The 22568-nt window shown below is 37.4% G+C and overlaps 1 protein-coding gene and 1 long non-coding RNA gene across 7 annotated transcripts in view, besides 2 other annotated features; one reads left to right on the forward strand and one right to left on the reverse strand.

Moving 5' to 3' along the window:
• Positions 1-20446, reverse strand: part of SEPSECS (Sep (O-phosphoserine) tRNA:Sec (selenocysteine) tRNA synthase) — a 40569-nt gene extending 20123 nt beyond the window's left edge. The window contains exons 1-9 of one of the 6 annotated variants that reach the window (XM_011513846.3): positions 20120-20313; positions 19492-19628; positions 18817-18971; positions 16720-16838; positions 15901-16059; positions 14862-15015; positions 11824-11926; positions 4868-4997; positions 4638-4729 (exon numbers count right to left, since the gene is read on the reverse strand). In XM_011513846.3, coding sequence (XP_011512148.1) covers positions 4638-4729; positions 4868-4997; positions 11824-11926; positions 14862-15015; positions 15901-16059; positions 16720-16838; positions 18817-18971; positions 19492-19602 — 1023 coding nt within the window. In that variant the 5' untranslated portion in view covers positions 19603-19628; positions 20120-20313. Of the gene's footprint in view, positions 1-4637; positions 4730-4867; positions 4998-11823; positions 11927-14861; positions 15016-15900; positions 16060-16719; positions 16839-18816; positions 18972-19373; positions 19629-19678; positions 20314-20408 lie in introns of those variants that run through there. The other 5 variants (NM_001410714.1, XM_047415762.1, NM_016955.4 and 2 more) reach the window with 5 other exon arrangements.
• Positions 19997-20166: a silencer, noted in NCBI's record as "silent region_15319". NCBI's record gives its function as "represses an Ori minimal core promoter by ATAC-STARR-seq in GM12878 lymphoblastoid cells {active_cell/tissue: GM12878}" and the evidence as "EXISTENCE:reporter gene assay evidence [ECO:0000049][PMID:35858748]".
• Positions 20277-20576: an enhancer, noted in NCBI's record as "active region_21370". NCBI's record gives its function as "activates an Ori minimal core promoter by ATAC-STARR-seq in GM12878 lymphoblastoid cells {active_cell/tissue: GM12878}" and the evidence as "EXISTENCE:reporter gene assay evidence [ECO:0000049][PMID:35858748]".
• The window catches only part of SEPSECS-DT (SEPSECS divergent transcript), a 37835-nt gene continuing 35802 nt past the window's right edge, over positions 20536-22568 (forward strand). Inside the window, exon 1 of the long non-coding RNA NR_037934.1 lies at positions 20536-20617. This is a non-coding gene — a long non-coding RNA (SEPSECS divergent transcript). The remainder of the gene's footprint in view (positions 20618-22568) is intronic.

Genomic DNA, 22568 nt, shown 5'->3' on the forward strand with positions numbered 1-22568 from the left:
ATTATCTCCACATGCCTGTGAACCAGGCTAGCCAGATCATCTGCCCACCATATGAAAGAGGAGGGACACTGTAATTGATAGACTCAGCAGGACCACCTGGAGTCAGGGAGGAGCAGTTCTCCAATGACAGTGATTCTGCACAAGCAAACAACATATATCCTCTCTAAAATATAACTGAGTTTTTTTGGCCAGAGTAGCTAGATTTATTCACTGTTTTTGTCTCCTTTAGATATCAGTAGACCCATATCTTGAGATTTACAGCCATATAAATCCACCAGGCTAGGTTATCTTCTATATTTAAAAAGGCAAAGTAGAATTTAGAAGTTAAGACAGAGAATAGGAGACCCAATTGCCTAGATTTCGGTCCATATTCCACAATTCACCTCATACATGTTACTTCTCGATTTCCTATGAAAATGAGGATAACAATACCTCATAAGAATATTTTAAGGATTAAATGTATACATAAAAATGTACTTAGAAGAGTGCCTTCCACATAGTAAGTGCTCAGTATTACGTGTAATTATTTCATATGTATATAAATGTATAAGGATGTATATGGTATTTGTATAAACACAAACTTTGCATGGAAAGACTATGTTAAGAATGATTTTTACATGAAACCTTTCTAACCAATGGTCAAATCTTAATGCTCACCCTACTTGACCTATCAGTGCCATCAGCTATGCTAATCACTCCCTCCTCCTTAATACACAGTTGGTCCTCCATATCCATGAGTTCTGCCTCCACAGCTTCAACCAAGTGTGGATTGAAAATATTTGAAAAAAAAAAAAAATTGCATCTGTGCTGAATATGCACAGAGTTCTTCTCTTGACATTATTTCCTAAACAATACAGTATAACAACTACTTATGTAACATTTATATTGTATTCAGTATTATAAGTAATCTAGAGTTGATTTAAGGAATACAGGAGGATGTGCATAATTTATATGACAATACTATGTCAGTTTATATACGGGTCTTGAGCATCTAAAGATTTTGGTATCTGAGTGATACCAAGGGATGACTTAGGACACCATTCTTGGTCTTCCTCCTCACTGAATGTTCCTTCTAAGTCTCCTTTGCTTGTTGCTTTTCTCAGACCTCTTAATGCTGTAGTGCCCAGAGCTCAGTCCTTATACCTCTTTTCTGTTTACACTCACTGTCTTGCAATCTCATCTAGTCTCTTGGCCAATTAACTCCCAGATTTTTATTTCCAGCCCAGTTCTCTCTTAATCCTAAACTTGTATATCCTACTCTCTACTTTGCAACTCTATCTTAAGGTCAATTCAAATTCAATTTTGTCCAAAACTGAACTCCTAGTCTTCCCCCAAAACCTACAGCTTCCCCATCATAGCTAATGGCTGTTCCATCCTTCCAATTGCTCAGGTCAAACCTGACTCTAACCACTTCTTATTACCTCCACTGCCACCATCTAGCTCCCAGCCAATATCACTTCTTAACCACTATAGAAGGCTCCTAACAGGTATCCATCCAGCTTCTGCCCTTGCCCCCCAATCTATTATCAATGTGAGCATTCAAAGCCTGTCAGATCATTCTACTCAATTCAAACCTCCAGTGGCTCCCTATTTCACTCAGAATATGAGGCACGGACCTTACTGTGGCCTAGAAGGCCCCACGTGATCAGCCCCACCCTCATTACCACCCTGACCTCAACTCCCACAGTTCTCCTTGCTCTTTTTGCTCCAGCCACACTGGCCTCCTTGCTGCTTCTCAAATACCCAAGGTCCACATCTGGCCTAGAGTCCTGATACTGGCTTTCTGCCTGAAACGCACTTCACCATCATATGTGTATATTCCCTCAAACTTCAAGTTCACTCAAATGTCACGGTATTGGGCTGGGCACGGAGGCTCATGCCTGTAATCCCAACACCCTGGGAGGCCAAGGTGGGGGGATCACATGAGGTCAGGAGTTCAAGACCAGCCTGGCCAACATGGCAAAACCCCGTCTCTACTAAAAATACAAAAAATAGCCAGGCATGGTGATGTGTGCCTGTAATCCCAGCTACTCAGGAGGCTGAGGCAGGAGAATAACTTGAGCCCGGGAGGCAGAGGTTGCAGTGAGGCAAGATCACGCCACTGCACTGCAGCCTGGGTGACAGAACGAGACTCCATCTCAAAAAAAAAAAGTCACCATCTCAATGAGGCCTGCCCTAATCACTATATTTAAAAATCAGTTCCCACCACCACCTCATCATCCCAAATTCTCCTTATTCTTGCTTTTGTTCATAGCACTTTTCACCTTCAAGCAAACTTTGTAATTTCTATATTATGTTGCCTGTTTATTGCTGGTTTCCCCCATAGGCAATGTGTGCTCCTCAAGAGCAAGTATCTTTATCTACTGTATTGACTGCTATATCTATATATATCTATATGCCTGACACATGACATGTGGTCAATAAATACACAGTAAATGTTTACTCGAATCTTATCCCACATTCAACTTTACCTTTGCATTTCCGTACTTTAGACTACGCTATTTTAAGTGGGCTTATTCAGATGCAGGGAGGGAAGCCAAGACAGCTTGATAAGGGTAAAAATGGGTATGAGGTAACATGAAACTGAAGAGACCATTGCGTTAAAAAGAAAAACTCAAATTTACAAAATGTCTAATTTATATTACCAATATGCCTTATACTGGATTACTAAATTACAGGCCAGTTCCCATGATTATTATGTCCAAAGTCCAGGAAGTAACTCTTTTAAGAAATATTCTAGAGTCTTTTAAGACTAAAAGTGGCCTGAGATATCAATTGTGTCTTTCACAAATGGGGAAATAAAATCTTTAAAACTTTTCCAGGACGAAACGACTAGTTATAGGAGAGCTAAGAACCACTGAAACAACTAAACTCTCATAGAAGCAGATGACAAGTTTTCCTCATCTATAGAGAGTTGTTATCTGACATATGGATCTGTTTTCTTGAAAGATTTGCCACAGTCTTCTCTTGGCTACAACAATCTACGACCATGAATGATTACAATTTGGAGTTTATAAAACCAGAGTTTTATTCTTATTGTATAAAAATTCATTGTCAGACTTACTGAGGTACAATTTGCTCACATAGTAAAATTCGGGATGTCTGTTTTTTAGGTGCCCACTTCTATGAATTTTGACAAATATATACAGTCATGAAACCACTACCACTATCAAGACATGAAACGTTTCATCACCCTAAAAAGTTCCCTCCCCAATCCCTACCCTTTAGCAACCATTAATCTTTCTTCTTTCCTTATATTTTTTACCTTTTCCAGGATGGCATATAAATGAAACTGTACAATATGTAGCCTTTTGAGTCTGACTTCTTTCATTTAGCATAATGCATTTGAGAGTCATTATCTTGTTGCATATTTCGGTACATTAGCCATTCTAAAAGGTGTGTAGTGGTATTTCATTGTGGTTTTAAATTTGCATTTCCCTAATTACTAATGACATTGAGCATCTTTTCCTATATCACATAAATCTTAAGAAATGTCCTCACAATTAAACAATTACTATCCCATGGAATGAATTAGTAGGGGAAGGAAGACTGGGGTAAAACAGAGCACAAGATTTTTAAACTTGTTATGTATTCATCCTAAGGCTATGAGATCATCTATGAGATAATACATATGAAAATGCTTTAGAATATATAAAGTACTATTATAAATATAAGGGACTACAATTGTTGTTAAGTGCTAGAAAGTTATCAGATTTAAAAACTGCACCAGAGGACTCACTCTCTCCCAGATAGAAGATGAATAAAACACTGCCTGCCCTAGCTATACAAGCTCTGTCTTTTGGAGGTGTCCTGAATTAAGCTAGTTGTGTTGGAGATAAAGTCATGTTTTCAAATATAAATGTAACTTCTTTTCATAACCAATATAACCAATGAGTTCAGCGTTCAATAATGACAAGAAATAGGCCAGGCGTGGTGGGTAACGTCTGTAATCCCAGCACTTTGGGAGGCTGAGGCGGGTGGATCACGAGGTCAGGAGTTGGAGATCAGCCTAGCCAACATAGTGAAACCCCGTCTCTACTAAAAATACAAAAAATTAGTCGGGTGTGGTGGCGGGCGCTTGTAATCCCAGCTACTCGGGAGGCTGAGGCAGAAGAATGGTTTGAACCTGGGAGGCGGAGGTTGCAGTGAGCCAAGATCGTGCCATTGCACTCCAACCCAAGACTCCGCTCAAAAAAAAAAAAAAAAAAAAGATAGAGCTAACTTCTGACCTGATTCTTCCTCTTGTGACTGACATCTCACTCCTAAACAATTTTCAAGTTTCCAAAAACTAAAAAGATGACTTATCCATTTGTCTTTTAAGAGCTTCTACCTTTAAGTACCTTTAAGTGATAAATGAATTGAATTTTATTGAATAAGAGTCCCTAATGCAGGAGTTTCTAAAAAGTAAATAAATAAAAGCAAAATCACCTAACCCAGATTCCTCGTAATATCTGGATAGACAGGCTGACAAAAAGTAATAGGAAACCACCTATGGTGGTTCCAGATCTGAATAAATACTATCGGACCATACTAGATGTCTCCCTCCCAGTGCAAGAAACCAACAGGCAGAAAACACCAATGATTTGGAGCACAGTTCTAGTCAAGAATGTTATTCGACACCTAAAGGGAAAGCTTACCTTTCTTTCTTTTAGTAGCTTCTTATAGCCATTTGATCCAAGTGACAATAAAGTAATAAGGACATCTAAAGAAGGTGAAGCTGAAGCTCTTCCTGAAATAAGAAGGATAAGTTACATTAAGACTGTGGTGGGGGGGTAGCTTTGGAAATTAAGATTTACTACAATAGCCTATGTACAAATGGATTTTTGTTTGTTAGCTACTTTTTCTGAAAAGCAACTTATTTATTTACCTGGATACATCTTGCTGATTTCCTGAATGAATGAATCATTAAAGCCAGCAATTATAGCACCACCTACTGGAACCATAAAATTTTTGTCCAAGCTCTGAACAAAAGCATCTATTCTACCAACTCGAGCCCCCTGGAATCAATATGATATTACATATTAGTTGCTAGGAAAACAGACAACTGCTATTAACAAACAAATACCACAACAAAAAATTATAACTATTTGAGTTAATTAATATATTAGCCTGATTTAACCATTTTACAATATATACATGCATCAAAACATCAAATTGTACACTGTAAATATATACAATTTTTGTCAACTCTACCTTAGAATAAAAATAAACACCATTAAAACAATGCATGGAAAAAACAATTGAAAAATTTTATTTTTATTTTCTTTGTAATAGTGCCAAGAAAATGTTTTTAAGTATTAAACCAAAATTTTTAATGGTGCTCCTTATATGTGCAACTTTAAGTTTACAACCTGCTTTCACACATAAATCATTTAATCTTCATAACAACTCTGTGAGGCAAGCACGGTTTCAGTATCAGCTCAGGTGGGAACTTTAATGAAACAAAGCTTTACACCTTAAAATTTGATAAGAAAGAATGGATTCATCCCATGCCTCTCATCTGTGCTCCTTTTTTTGACAACAAATGTCTACAATGGGTCCTATAACTATTAAGTGGTTTTAAACATCCTCTGTGAGTTCGAGGGTGGCCACCATAACCTAATGGACTATAGCCATCCGAGTTGCCAAACAGTTAATTATACATGTGCCTCTCTTTAATGCTTGGACAATCTACTACCTGTATGACCATTTTAAGCACTCAGATAAAAAACAAATGCAAAGTTTTACTTTTAACATCACTTAATGGAAGTTTTATTTGTATACTCTTGGCAATTCTAGAAGCAATGTTTCTACATAACTCATGCTCCCTAATATTATAAACTTAGATTTCATTCCACTGCAAATGAACTTCCAGTGAAAATCTAATATTCCGGTGAAAAATTGAATACTTACCTACTAGAAATGTAAAACTAAGTTCGGTCCTCATCCAACTTTCTGTCTAATGTGCTTCAATTTTCTCCTCTTAAAAATAGAGATACTGTCTAAATTACAACTAACATAGTCTTTTTCTTTATCTGTAGCCACAGATTTTCAATCTGTATTCACAATCTGTATTCCTATTAATATTATAACCATATTTGACCTTCATTTTCACACCTTGCTATCTGAGGGAGAACAGAAGGAGCAGATAGCTGGCCTAATCTCAGAGTCCAGATCCAGGCAACAGGTGGAAGCAGCCGAAGCAGGGAAGAGGAGCAGCTGCTCTGGAGGCCATTATACAACTGTTCAAATCTTAACCTTCCTCTTCCTCTTCTTTCTAATTTCCTAATAAACCATGATCAGAGAAAATCTCACCATATCACAGGAAAATAGAGAGATGCATATAAGACTAACAGAATAAAAAAAACTGGAAAACATGCGAAGTAGCAGCATATAAAGATAAGTGGACAGTCAGAGTTGCCTTTGTATTAACATTTTAGTACTGTCCAAGGCCTCCTGAGAGAAACAGGAACCTAAACTGGAAGCAGAAGTACTAGAGGAATCAATGCACCAGACTTTGCTAGAACCCTTCCATCACTAAAACACAGAAAGCATTTAAAAGGCAGCACATTCTGTGGCAAGAAAACAAACAGGCCAGACCCAATCTCAGAAATGGTACAAGACCCCCTTTTTCAGCTACATCTAAGTCATCAGTATATGCTCTAAAATCCACTCTCAAAATACATCTGAATAAAAGCATTTATTACCACCTTCACAACTACCACCCTGGCCAAAGCCACCAAAAAATCTCATATGGGTTGCTGCAACAGCCTTCCACTCTTGCCTCCCTACAGTCTATTTCCCACATAGCATGTCACTCTTTCCTGCTTGAAATCCTTCCATGGCCAATGATCATACCAAAAACAAAATCCCAAACCCTTAACACACCTCAAAGCTCTACAACCACTGTTCACCTTGTTCATTATGGTTCAGCCATACTGGCCTCCTTGCTATTTCTCACATATTCCAAGCACGCTCCTGCCTCAGAGTCTTGGCTGTTAGCTTCTGACTGGAATCTCTCTCTCTAGAGAGCTGCAAAGCTTCCTCCTGCATCATTCAGAGCTCCACTCACATGTACTTCTTGAAGAGTGCTTCCTAGATCACTCCATCTAATGATATCCATCCTCCCCAAATACCAGAGCATTTATCCAAGACTTGTCATACTCAAGGTTTACTCTCTGCTTTCGCACAAAAAATAGAATGCTCTATGAGGGTTAAAGATTTTGTTGGATTCACTATTGCATCTCCAGTTCCTACCCTGGTGCCTGGTACACAAGCAGGAACCCAGAAAGTATTTGTTGAATGAAGTGACAATTGGGTTTGTGAATAAACAGTAGTAATACCTACTTCTCTCAAATTCTGAACAGGCAAAGTTGCTGCTTCCCACACTTTTGGAACTTTACAATCCATTGTGACTCAAAATAATCAGTCTTATATGCATATTTTTGTGACTCTACTATATCCCTCTCCATTAATCTATCCTAACATCCATAATTCATGAATCTCTTAAATTCGTCATTTTAGTAAATATAAACAGAAATATAGGTTACTCAAAACTAACTTCCCCTGGAGGTGGGGTTATGTGCATACAGAATACTCTATATGCTCAGCCTTAAGTCATTCTGGGGTCTCATCTTAAAAACAAAAAAGTTAAAAACATAATGTTAAAACAATAAAAATAAAAAAAATTTATTTATACTTTTCTTCATTGATTGATTATTGCAATATTATTTTCTCAAGAAAAGACTTACAGTATTAGTATTTTAGTACTTTGTTTTTTAACAGAAAAATGGGACTTTGGAGTCGCACTGAACTAGATGGGCTATTTTGTAGCTACAGGACCTTAGGGAAGTCACTTAATCCCACTTATTTTATTTCCCCATGTGCAGAATGGGAATAAGAAGTACACCTTAAATTGTCAGGATTCAGCTGATAACTTTAAAAGCCTAGTAGAGGGCCAGGCACGGTGGCTCACATCTGTAATCCCAGCACTTTGGGAGGCCAAGGCGGGTGGATCACGAGGTCAGGAGATTGAGACCACCCTGGCTAACACGGTGAAACCCCGTCTCTACTAAAAAATACAAAAAATTAGCCAGGCATGGTGGTGGGCGCCTGTAGTCCCAGCTACTCGGGAGGCTGAGGCAGGAGAATGGCGTGAACCTGGGAGGCGGAGCTTGCAGTGAGCCAAGATCGCGCTACTGCACTCCAGCCTGGGCGACAGAGCGAGACTCCGTCTCAAAAAAAAAAAAAAAAAAAAAAAAGCCTAGTAGGATGCCTGACACATGGAGAGTGTGTAGTAAATGGTATATATTAACAATAAGGACTATTGAGATGAATTAAGGCTAACTTTAATTTTTTAGAATGTCATGAAACAGCAACCTGCACTCAACAAGACTCAAGTATTCATTTGATTTAAATCAATAGTGCCACAACCTCTTTTGGTGAAGGCCAATTTGGGAAAAATAGAATGTTTATATATTTGCTTTTTTTGTTTTAAAGAAATGTCCATTTTAATAAGTTCTAACGTTCAATAGCACAGTACAGTGACTATAGTTAACAACAATGTATTGTATATTTCAAAATACCTAGAAGAGAGTATGTGAAATGTTCCCAACACAAAAAGATATAATAAATGCCACATAATGGATAGCCTAAGTACTCTGACTTAATCATCCCACAATCTGTACATGTATCAAAATATCATTTGCACTCCATAAATATACCCAGATATTAGGTATCAAAGAAATTTTTTAACAAATGTCAACTTTAGAAGGTAATACATTATCTGCAACAATATCTGCATTTAAAAGTTTATTCATCCATCTTATAGTTTTATTTTTTGGTTAAAATTTTAGTAAAACCACCTCCCAAATGCAGAGAGGTAATGACAAAGCAGAGTATTAGGGATGTGCAACTCCAAGAGCACCTTTCTTATTGTATTCTGGAGCTTTTATTTTTTTTTTGGCGGAGTCTCGCTCTGTCACCCAGGCTGAGTGCAGTGGGGCTATCTTGGCTCACTGCAAGCTCCGCCTCCTGGGTTCATGCCATTCTCCTGCCTCAGCCTCCTGAGTAGCTGGGACTACAAGTACACACCACCACACCCAGAGAATTTTTTTTTAAATTTTAGTTTTGTAGAGATGGAGTCTTGCTTTGTTGCCCAGGGAGGTCTCAAACTCCTGGCTTCAAGTGATCCACAAGCTTCAGCCTTCCAAAGTGCTGGAATTACAGAGGGGAGCCACCACACCCAGCCTCTCTTAGTTTTAACCTCTTCAGGTGCACCACCAAATTTTCTAGTATTTAAAAATATGTTGTATCATTAAAATGATCATTATGAAAACTTTATAGCATCTGAAGGGTACAGAAATATAACACTAAAAAAATTAAATGTACACAATGAATATAACTATGTAAAAACAATATGCATATAAAAAGAGAAAAAGTAAATACATAAATTGTTAAGGGTATTTGTTAGGGTAATAGCATTATGAGTGATCTTCTACTCCTTCCTCATTTTCCTAAACTTTTAGTAATACTGATGGTATTTGACTTTTAAAAGGAGAGAAGCTGCTAAAAATTACACAGAAGAAGAGCAAGAGGGAAAGGGAAAGGAGGAATAAAAATCAATCACTGAAATAAAATGTTTTTCAAGATTTCCAGTGTAGAAAATTGTACACCCTTCCTCTATGACCATACAAATTAGATATAACCTAGTCTACAATAAGTGAAGAAGCCTTAAAAAGTTAAGGAATAGCAAAAAGAAATACCAAGGAAATGGTAAACAGTCTTTCTCTAAAGGTTTTAAGAAATCCCAACACACCATGCCTACAACCCACTCCACCTCTGGACTTGCTACATAAATTAATCCATTTCCTTATTGGTTTAAGCCAACTTGAGTTGGGTGCCTGTTACTTGCTGCCAATGACATCCTAACTGATACAAAGTTGAGTAAAGAAGTTAAGCAAATCAGTGATTACTATTTCATATAAACCACATTTATGTAAAAGATGATATTAGTATACTAAAAATAATATAAAAGACAAAAAATGTACTAGATAGTATCTATTGTGCTTCAGAGCATTTACCATATTGGAGCAAGACACAGGTAATCTGTGAATAACTTATGCCCACATAACACAAATCACATGTATGTCAAAACTGTATGTGTATATTAACATCATTATGCACACAAACTATGTAGTCCATACCATACATGCATAAATACAATACTTTATTTATTCACTGACTGTTCAGTAACCAGTTATTAATTGTCCATTACGTACCAGATATTGTCTTAAGTACTGAGGGCACAGCAGTGAACAAAACAAAGTTCTACCCCAACAGAACCTTAATTCTAATCACTGTCAATAACAAACATTATATCAAATGGTGATAAGTGTTCTGGAGAAAAATAGCAAGGAGCCATCAATTTTAAGAAACATCATTATTTTATATGTCACTACGTAAAAAAAAAACACTGCCTATTAACATTGTAAGACACCACTGATTATTAAGACATCAGAATTTCAGATGTCAAAATGTAGAACATAGCATCTTAAAATCAATGAACATGGTAAAAAAGCAAAAAGAAGGATAGAAAATGCTAGCAAGGGCTGGGCGCAGTGGCTCACATCTGCAATCCCAGCACTTTGTGGGGCCGAGGTGGGAGGCTGGCTTGAGCCTAGGAGTTTGAGACCAGTCTGGGCCGCATGACAAAACCCCATTTCTAGAAAAAATACAAAAAGTTGGCTGGGTGTGGTGGCACACACCTGTGGTCCCAGCTACCCGGGAGGCTGAGGTAGGAGGATCACTTGAGCGTGGGAAGTTGAGGCTGCAGTGAACTCCAACCTGGACAACAGAGTGAGACCCTATCTCAAAAAAATAAAAAACTAGAAAACGCTAGCAAGGAAGGGGGAGGTGTTAGATAGGGTTTGACATGTATGTCAAAACTGAGTATGTATATTAACATCATTATGCACACAAACTATATAGCCTGTATCATACATGTATAAATAAACACAATATTTCATTTATTCACTCACTTTGTTCAGTAACCGGTTTATTGATTGTCAATAATAACAATCACTGACAGAGTTTCTGAGGAAGTCTCACTGACCTAAAGAAAGCTACGCAACTCTCTAGAAGAGCAATCCAGCAAGTGGGATGAGCAAGAGCAAAGGCCTGGAAGTGCAGGCACGTGACAAAATGGAAAAAAAGTAAGGCAGCAAGGGTGGTTGGAGCACAGCAGGCAAAAGGAAAGCAGTAGAAAATGAAATCAGCAAATCAGCAAAGGCCTGAATACACAAAGCCTTGTAGGCCATAGTTCTTATTATAAGTCACATGGGAAACAAAGACATATTTTCAAAATTAGAACCTAAAACAAATGACCAGGATCTAGCTGATGCTTAAAAAAAAATACAAAAACCTGCCAATTCCACAGCTATATACTAGCATGTTTATAAATGAAGTCACTTCTAGTCTAAGATAATAAGGTACAATAATTCCTTAAATATAGACTAAATCATATCTTTTTAAATGGTATAATCCAGTATATTAGAAAAATGAAAATCCAGGTAATGAAACAGTCTCAGAAAGTTAAAAGCTAAACTACTAAAGTATTTCTATGTTGATTCTAGCCTACCAAAGCTATCAGTCCAATTATCACCACAGTATCAAAGAATAATGACTTTTATTGAGAGATTATCAGATGTAAGTTCCTAACACAACCTGAAGCAGATGGTCATAAATAACTGTTTTACTATATCAGATTGTAAGAAAAAGTAATAATCCTATAATATGTTAAAATGAATTTTTCCTTGACATACATATCATTTTAAACTCTCTTACCTGCTGAATGAGATGCATACACTTTGAAGACTGCACTCCATAAGCATTATTAACTATATGTGGAATGTCATAATTAGCACAAATCACAGCCAGTTCTTCTAATCTATAAACATAAATATTCAATAGAAAGACATACTCACACTGTGTTTTATAAATGATAGTGCAGAAAGTTTTTTAAAAATTTAATAGTTATCCTTAATGTACACCAAAGGAAAAAAACGACAAACACTGAAATTTCTATTGCAGTATTTTGACATGTAATTCAGCAGCTTGGAAATACATAGCAAGCTCTTTCGAATAAACCTAAAAAGGCTTTTAAATTAATGTTATCAATATACAAAAAAAATACAAAAATTTATGTAGATGATAAATCATTTTAAAATTAAAAATTCCCTAAACAGAAAGCCAGAAGATTATTTATAATGACCCCTCACAAGATGGTATGCTCTTTTTTTCCACTTTTGGTTGCTTACCATACTGAAGCTAGTATCTGCAAAATAATTAGCATATCTGGAATCTTAAGAAATCTCACATTAAACATCTCATAAAATAAAAAATGCATTCTCAAATAGACTTTAATGTATTAAAAAATACAGAACATTAAAATGTGTCATTACCAAAATAACTAACATTTTCCAACAACTTGGATACTGAGGAATCTTCCAAATAGCTACTGGTTTTAAATCCACCCTTATCTACTCTTACTTTTTCATTTTACACCTCTCATATTAATCTAATTTGAGAGTCTAACTTTATGCAAAGTAAGGTAATAAATTTCAGTGACAGCATAATAAATAGATGTTCTTTCACAAAGCCAAATACTTCTTGTGACTGAGCTCATCTTTAATAGAAATGTCTTCATGCTATGAAACTAAAACTAAATCCTATGTTTTAGTAAAATTATTAAAAGTTTTCTTTCTAAAGTATAAAGAATTTGAAAGCATTTTTATACAAGTAAAGTCCTTTTTGACAGGATATACTTCAAATATATAGTTTGAATTACCGATTTACGCATAATACATGTCCTATTTCTAGTAGATGTCATTAATATATTTTTAACTGTAAGTAGGAATACCATTATGTTCATCTGTTACAAGTTTTCTTTTTTTTGTCCAGTTTGCCTCAGACCAAAAACAAGTTATCAATTTGCTTGCTTGAAGTCTTATGAATTAAAAACTCATTTTATCATTCATTTTCACAAACCCTACAAATTGATATAGACATCCTTTTTGTTACTTCAAACTAATCAGATGATGTTTTTAACAAAATAGACCTCTGGGATACACAGAAGTATTTTCTTCATAAAATAAAAGGCACTTTCATATGTGTGTGTTCTAATGAAAATATTCCTTAATAAATAATTTCTTTGAAAATAAGGCTCCATAACATTAAGCTCTATTTTTAAAAGAAAAAAAATAACTTGTGAGTAGTTTTAAATAATCTGAATTACCTAAATCTGTTAATGGTTAGGGTGTGTTAAAAAAAAAAAGTATTAAATGAAAGGAGAAGCAGAAAAAATATTTTTCATATGTATCAAATTGTTTTCTAACTTAGAAGCCAATTTAAGGTGTTTATCAGTTAGAAGAAATAATACCCTTCTTTTTTGCAACATTTCCCTTAAGTGAATTTCCTCCACAATAGTTTTTGTCTGATTAATTAACTAATAAAAACAAAATGTATACTGTATCCAAAAAATTAAAAGGAATGAAGCCAATGTAAAAAAAACAAAAAACAAAATGTGGTTTTAAAATTTAATAAAGTCAGAAATTCAAACATTACTGTGCATCACCCTTTTCCTAAACTTTGCTCTTACTCAGAAATATTCATTACACAACGGTGACAAATGAGAATTTTTCTGACTGATAAAAATCTTCATTAAATTTTTTCTAAAGGAGATAATACAGGTAAAACACTTAACACTGTGCCAGGCATACTGTAAACATTCAAAAGACGTTAGTCAAAATGAAACGAAAGCAAAGTATCCACAAGGATAAATAATCCAACTAACACAAATATCCATATGCTGTTTTTCAAAATGTGATTTCTATCACATTAAAAATTTTATAGCTATCAAAACCATCAACAAAGAACAATGCTTATTTTTCAATACAAATTTGAAAGCTGATTGGTAAGTAATGAATAAACCACAAAGCATATGAAAAGTAATCTTAAAATAGAGTTCACAGGCTCATGAATGTAGCAAGGTAAATTTTTAAGAGCATAGTTAAAAAACTGTCTCTTACAATCTGCCTGTAAGATAACAAAAGCCAACATAGAATTCATTATTGCCAAATAATGTAATTCCATGAATTAAAACCAAAGTATAATTTGATGCTACAAGAAAAGCCCAAAGTCAATATAGTGCTTACAAATTATTACCACTTCCATTCAAAATGTTAAAATGAAACAAAAAAAATTGTAGTCAAAAACAGAAATCTGTATTACTAGACATGAGCCTATTACATTTTCAGAATAAAAATGTGTGGCTATCCTTTAGAAGAGTAAACCTTTGCTTTTTCTTTCCTTTTTGCTTTTATTTTCTTAAATATTTGTATTATTCTCAAAACGCAGACAATGACAACCACTATGCACACCTAAGGTATAATCTGAGTTAATCTTCCAATTACAGAAATTTGAAAGTAAACAATCCTAATTTTTTTTTAATTTATTAATACTGATAGCAATGAAAAGAAGTAAACCCAACATTTAGCTTAGAAAAGAAACTTCTATTAAATAATAAGAAAAAACATGCTAAGAGATCAGAAACAGGACAAAGAGCAAGAAAACAGAGACGGTCTGCATCGACTCAGGTGATAAAGGGAGCTCCCCACCCTGTACTAATTGTTTTTCCTTGTTATATTTCAAATGGTTGGTTTCCCAAGCTGTTAATGCTATTTCTCCACAAGGTCAATCTATTCTCTTAGAACAGACCATTCACCTATTTATTGTGAAGTGTTATTTAAGCATATTTGAGAATTAGTATATTTTATTTAAAAGACTGATAAACAGCTAAAGGACAATATTCACAAATCATTTACCTATCAGGCACCCTTGGAGCAAAACAGGATGTAGTAGAATGAATACACAGAATGCAATCAGGCCCAAGTTCCTGGACTTTAGCCTCCACTGCTTTCAGGTCTGTACGCAGCTCGTCACCTTCCAAAACATTTTCTATCACCACAGGCTCAAAACCTAACCAAACCAACCAGAAAACAAAATGTTAGTGTGAACTAAAATAAGGGAAGATCCTGAAACTCTAGGAAGCATGCTATTCTACACAAGAACTCTTAATATTTATTTTGGTAGATTAACCTTCCTCTGGTAATAAATACACGGCTCAGTACTGGTATTAGTCAAAGGCAGGTCAAAATAATGTGAGGGACTACTACACAATTTTAGGACCATAAGTCTATTTAACACTTGGATATGACAAGAATGAATTCTGGAAAGTAAGGAAAACAAATGTTAAATAGATATCTATAGAAGTAATAACATAGACACTGATGACAAAAAGGATCACTTTAATCCAGTTCAGTTTCAATCCACAGAAAAATAAGTCCACTCATTCTCTGGTGATATTTCTGTTTTATTTTAAAGTTCATTTTATTTCAGAGATGGACATAAATAATAATACAATTCACTCAGTGAAACAAATCACAATCATCTACTTAATGTTTTACCTCTAAAGAAAAACATAATAAATTTCAGTAGCCTAAGGATCACTGATCCATCTCATAGCCTACAAAAGCCTCCTATGAAAACAAAATGTATACTGTAAATTTTGCATAAAAATTGTTTTCACATTTTCAATTAAAACAGTACACTTAACTAGTATATACGCAAAGGTCCCCCAACAAATAATAATTATGGAACCATAGATATTTAGGTATCCATAAACTTAAAAGTTGCATAAAGTAATACAAACATTAAATTTTGTTACATATATTTTACAATTTTTTCTTTTAAAAAAGCAATAGGGAAGAGAGTTAGTTTATTTTTCATTTATCTATCTTTATATAAGAAATCTGAATTTCATAATTATGATGTTTAAAACATTATGTATGACACTTCTCTTACCTGCAGTGATCATGGATTTAAAGCAGGACTTCTGGTCTATTCGTGGCCATATAATATACTTTGCCTTTGGTCTTTTGTGTCGTAATGTTAAGAAACACAGAGTTAGACTCATACCAGTTGCCATAGGAACTACAAAGCAGTTGGCTACTGTATGGACACCTACAAATAAGAAGCAAAACAGAAATCTGTTATCCCGCTAAGCACCCAGCATCCTTCTTGAGGAAATAATATATTTCATATATAAAATAGTAAGAGTCGTAGCCCTAGGGCTTCTGTTTCTGTACTCGCTCTTGGAAAGCTCAATGCCAAATTCAACTTCAGGGCTTATGGCTCTGATTTTCTATCTTATTCTAAAGACTTTTTATTTAAAAAAAAAAAGTCTTTTCGGCCGGGCGCGGTGGCTCATGCCTGTAATCCCAGCATTTTGGGAGGCCAAGGCGGGCGGATCACGAGGTCAGGAGATCGAGACCATCCTGGCTAACACGGTGAGACCCCCGTCTCTACTAAAAATACAAAAAAAAATTAGCCAGGCGTGGCGGTGGGCACCTGTAGTCCCAGCTGCTCGGGAGGCTGAGGCAGGAGAATGGCGTGAACCCGGGAGACGGAGCTTGCAGTGAGCCGAGATCGCGCCACTGCATTCCAGCCTGGGCAACAGAGCTAGACTCCGTCTCAAAAAAAAAAAAAAAAAAAAAAAAAAAAGAAGTCTTTTCAAAAGCCACTCATACTCTTTTTGGAAAGGGGCAATAATAAATGAAATGAGTCAGTGGTGTGTGTGTGTGTCCAGACAGCCAAAAGCATTATGATTAAGACGGTACATACCAGCCAGCTTTATAATGTCCAGGACCAAAGAATTGGTAATTTTGTTCAAAAGGCTAGAGCCTGCAGCTTTTGGTTGCACAGCAGAAATATCACCGGATCGTCCAATGCCATGAATGAACCTAAGCAAAAAATGGGCCAAAAACTGGACAAATACATTCAGCATTCCGAGTAATACAATGTACAAATATGCAAATGTAATAACCAAAAAAACACCAGGAGCAATATTTGGCTGTTACAGATATATGTCACAAACTATTAATGATGTGGAACTCTCCTACTTAAATTGAAATAATTTCATCAATTATGCTGTGATAGCTAGTTTCCAAAGACGGCCACCATCAATTCTTTTTCTCCCTATGCCCACATGCTACTCCCACACCAAGAGATGGAGTCTACTTCCTCTCCACTTGAATCTGGGCTGAATTTAGTAACTTGCTTGGCCAGGAAGAATCTAGCAGAAGTAACTGTGTGAAATTTTCATGCTAGGCAAACCTTCAGATGACTAAACTCTCAGCCAGTATCTGACTGCAACTACATGACAGACCCAAAGCAATACTCACCCTGCTGAGCCCAGTTAATCCAAAAAGCTATGAGAGGTAACAATAAATGTTTTAAGCCACTTAATTTTAGGGTGGTTTGTTCTGTAGCAATAGAAAACTAGAATACATGAAATATTAAATTATCTTTTTTTTTTTTTTTTTCGTTTTGAGACGGAGTCTCGCTCTGTCGCCCAGGCTGGAGTGCAGTGGCGCGATCTCGGCTCATTGCAAGCTCCACCTCCCAGGTTCCCGCCATTCTCCTGCCTCAGCCTCCCGTGTAGCTGGGACTACAGGCGCCCGCCACCACGCCCGGCTAATTTTTTTGTATTTTTAGTAGAGACGGGGTTTCACCATGTTAGCCAGGATGGTGTGGATCTCCTGACCTCGTGATCCGCCCGCCTTGGCCTCCCAAAGTGCTGAGATTACCGGCGTGAGCCACCGTGCCCGGCCAAATTATCTTTTTTCTTTACTTTTCCCCTAATTCCACACTGGGCTAAGTTCCAATGATGGTTCAAATATTGCCTTAATTTTAAAAGAACTATATGCTCCTAGAAAATCAGTGTGCAAATCTCATTTTAAATTAGACAATATTATACATTGTTTAAAGATACCTCTCAATACTCTTTAAAATAAAAAACCCTTTCGTAATTTGAGTAATTTCTAATTGACAGTCAAATATATCAGAAATTCGGTATAGGAGGATTATCGAAGAATACTAGTGCTGTACTTCCTCACCACTGAAATCTCATGTACAAAACATTTCTTACATATATTATCAACCATGTTATCAGCAAACTGTTAACTGAAATTTTCATCCAAGTTAGGCATTATCATCAGTTTTGACTGCAGTGGTTTTTACTGAAATACAAATTCTACGATGCCCAGGAAATTTTCATTATAATGTAAAAGCATGGAAGACAGGAGTTTCATTTAAAAGAGTTTACACTTCACAGAAAGGTTAGTGGACAGAGCAATGAGTGATCATATTAACTACCAATTAACTACCAATTAAATCGTTATCAGAATTGATGAAAAGCTTTCTGCAATAATGCAAAAGAAAAAGGTCACTTAATAATCTAATACACCTTTCCCTGTATCTATTGCAACAGAGGTATTTATAAAATGAGATTCAGTTTAAACACAGTTTAAAACAAAATTTAAAGTTGATAACTATAAATCATTCAAAAAAAAAAAACACTACAAATGTTAGAAAAGAAATATGGAAAGCTATAAACAACCTTAATGGATTTTGAACTCTTACAACCAGATATGTTTATTAGGGTAACCGTTCCTAAGAAAACGTATAGCCTGTGTTAGTCACCCAGAACCTGACAGGGTAACCCCCACTTAGTTTTTACTCTATTGTCTTTGAAAAGCACCTGCTGAGATAAAATTGTTTCCATCTCCCTGTTGCATTTGGCTTACATATCCATTAGAGCAGGGAAGAAGTGGTTTACAAACTGACATTTGATAATCTAATAAGATAAATACTGCTGCCATTATTTTGAACCAAAAATAAATAAACGATGTATCTCCTGTACTACTTAAAAAAAGATACCTGTAATGACGACGAGCAACCAGTGCGGATGCCACTCTCCCTTCCCTTTCTCCCACACCACAATTGCCTAAGAAATTGTTGCTGTCCATGATTGCAAGTTCATGTAAAAAGAGTTCAAGTGTACTTTCATCCCAGCCATTCTCTGGACACTTGCCCTTAAAAAAAAAAAAAAACTTATGATTATATTTAATAAAACTACCGTTCTCTAGAATACTACAGGAATACAGTTTTTCTTTTTAACGTGTATTTTGCCACGCTGCTTGTTTTCTAAAATTCAAGCATAAATTCACCACTGTATAGAGACCGCAAAGAGGCAAAACGTTTGTACATTTGATTACAATTATTTACAGATTTCGAGAAGTGATGATAAATGCATACAATGAGGTTTACTGAGATATTTAAATTTCCGTAAGTGAAACTAACTGAAAACCAATACAACACATCCCCAGTGAAGATGCTTCAAACCAGGGCGTTACGACTGGGGCGGTGGGACGTGGAGAAGGGCGGTAGTTGTCAAACTTCAGTGAAATTTTGGCCACGCGCTGTAGCTCACTCACGCCTGTAATCCGAGCACTTTGGAAGGCCAAGAATGGCCGATCACTTGAAGTCAGGAGTTTGAGATCAGCCTGGCCAACATGGTGAAACCCCATCTCTACTAAAAATACAAACATTAACCGGGTGTGGTGGCGGGCGCCTGTAGTCCCAGCTACTCGGGAGGCTGAGGCAGGCGAATGGCGTGAACCCGGGAGGCGGAGGCTGCAGTGAGCCGAGATCGTCACACTGCATTCCAGCCTGGGCGAAAGAGCGAGACTCTGTTTCAAAAAAACAAAACACAACAAAACTTTTAATGAAATTAAAATACATGAACGCTGGCAGGAGGGAGACCTGTGAAGTTCCGCGGAAAGCTCGTGGTTCGAGTTAGCATACAGTCTACAAACACCATTATGTGTTCTGAGTCGTTGAGGGTTGGTGAAAGATGGAGGTGCGAACTTTGCCCTTTCCGCGAATAAAAAAGTACACTGGGACTTTCCCTCACTTCCGCATCCCGAAGTTAGAAACAGCGGGACTCAAAACCCCGACCCCAACACCCCCTCCTAACAACACCATTTGGCTTTCACTGGCTTTGGCAAGGCTGAGAAGGCACAGACCGCAGTCGGTCAGCTAGGGCAAGCCAAGCTGAGACAGACTTGGGACTAGTCTCAAGCAGCGAAGAGCTGCCGGTGAGGCAGCACCAGCGGGGACGCCCGGCGGAGCCAGAGCCCCGGGGTCGCGGCGGCTGGGGAGGGGACCGACAGCTCGGTACCTTCTCCAGAAGCAGCCGTATGAGGTGCTCATGCGAGCGGCGGGCCTCACAGCCCTGCCGCACGTAAGCCGGCGACACCAGCCGCTCTCCCGCCGCGAAGCTCTCGCGGTTCATGACAGCGGTGGCGACAGTGGCGAATAAGCGGGAGCACTAGCTCCACACGCCAGACACACGACGGAACCAGAATGCAACTCGCCGCCTGGACGGTACGGCAGCGCCTTGGGACAAAAAACAAAACAAAACAAAACAAAACAAAAAAAACACTTCTCGTTCGTGCACATGCGCAGACCTTCTCAGATGGCGCTCCAGGAGGAAGTTGGCGTATTTGAGCATGCGCGAGGGAGTCCGCGCTTTTCGCTGACTTTTGGCAAAGGAAGGACTGAAATTAGCCCCGCCCCGCTGCGGCTGATTCGTCTAGTTAAACCCTGGTGTTCCTGACACAAACTTCAGGAAAGGATTTTGCACTTGTGCAGACCGGGCGAGCAGAGTAAGAAGCAGGTACGTGGGTTTTTCCAAGTTCTGTGTTTCAGTCCTGTTGGATGGTTGAGATCTGTGCAGGGTCTGTGCTTCCGCCTTATTCAAACTGTCAGATGCCAGAACCTTCGATCTTTACTTTGATACATTTCCACACTTATTACTGCCTCACAACCCCATAGGAAATAGCAGTGCCCCACTCATTTTCCCCTTGACACTACTGTTTAGCCATAGCACTTACTACTCACCACGTGACATGCCAGACGTTTGTTTATACACACACACACACACACCCATACCCATGAATGTAAACTCTCTAACCTAACGGCAGGACCTCGGTTTTTGCTGCGGTGCCCCCTTCCCCCGGGCACCTAAAACAGTGCCCAGAATAAAGTAGGGCCTAAAAAAAAAGTTGATATTGAATTAATGAATTAGTTTGACCATTCTGAAACTATCCCCAAGAACATTTTGTAAAATTGATTAAGGAGGGGAAAAAAATCCAACTAGGCTTACAGCTGCTGTTATTAAGCCAGCTTGCAGTGTGGCCGACTTTCTTGTAGCTGGTTGCTACTTACTACCCCAGGAGAATGTGGCCCTTGTCACAAGACTCTTCATTCTTTTTCTGCTCTGAAGATAAAATCTAAGACATTATGAGAAGATAAGCTTTCTGTTTGCATTGCTTCTTTAGGTCCCGCATACCAACAAAACTAAGGACGCCAACTTGTCTGGAAGGCCCAATAAAAAGCTGATTCATGGAGGAATGCAATTGTCACATCCTAATGATTTCATCTCCCTTACCCCAACGAATCGATAACCCCAAATTTTCCAGCCCCTCACCCTCCACAAATCCCCTTAAAAAACTTTGCCTAGAACCCCTTGATGAAATGGATTGAAGCTTGAGAACTCTTCCTGTTTCCTGGCTTGTAACTTGTGATTATTAAAACTTTCTCTGCTGCAAGCCTGCTGTCGGAATACTGGTCTGTTTCTGCACAGCCGGCATAGGAACCTGGCAGTGCTGTAACAGTTCAACAACTTAGAGGTTCACTGCTGGAGATCCCTGCCTCCAGTTTCCTTACAATCTTCATCTTATGTGAGCCTACAGTAATTCCTGACATTGCTTTCACCTGGTGGTTTGTCCATTTGCACTGAGTCACACCCACTTGCAAGAGCTGATTGTTAAATGTTCAGTAATTTTGTGAGCTAGTTTTCAAATACAGCCACTCAAAAATTATATTACAAGCAAAAGTAAAAATACTCAAAATTTGTCACTTCCTAATTATTTTACATTTTACTATTATCTATGCTCTTCAGGTTATTTACATGCATTTTATCTATATGGTGGAAATTCAATGTAATGTTATACTACTGCACATCTTCCAACTCCTCTTTTGATGATGTCACGTTGGCCATGGTGGGAGCATTTACACCATGGAAATCAGTAAACACCGCTAATCAGGCCCTTACACTCCAACCCACTCCCCTAGAAGTCAGTTGTTCAACATGTACCAGCTCATCACTGTTTCTACTGCATGTTCCCATGGCATCCAGCTATTAATATAAATCAGTCTATTTATGGTATTTGTTGAATTGCATTTCAATTGTTAATTTTCTGTCTCAACTAGACTGTGAACTCCTGGTTCACAAGGGCTATACCAATATCTGTGTTCAAAGCACAGCACTAAATACATAATAGCTGTTTGATAAATATTTGTTGAATGACATAGAGCATTTAACTACTTTAAACAGAAAGGTAAACCACAAAACAACAAGAATTTAGCATACTTTCTAAAATGAGTATTTTTCAAACTTTTGGAAAGTTGTGTTCCTATTCTCAAAATGCAACTATTTTTGCAACTTCTTCTTTGGAAAAGCCTTCAAAGCTGCTTTGTCAATCACATGCAAAATGTGCAAAAATCCCAAAATTAATGTCATTACTGAATGGACACGCCAGGTTTTTGAGCCAGCTTCTTCTCTT

Source organism: Homo sapiens, chromosome 4 (assembly GCF_000001405.40).
Source record: "Homo sapiens chromosome 4, GRCh38.p14 Primary Assembly".
Taxonomy (NCBI): Eukaryota; Metazoa; Chordata; class Mammalia; order Primates; family Hominidae; genus Homo; species Homo sapiens.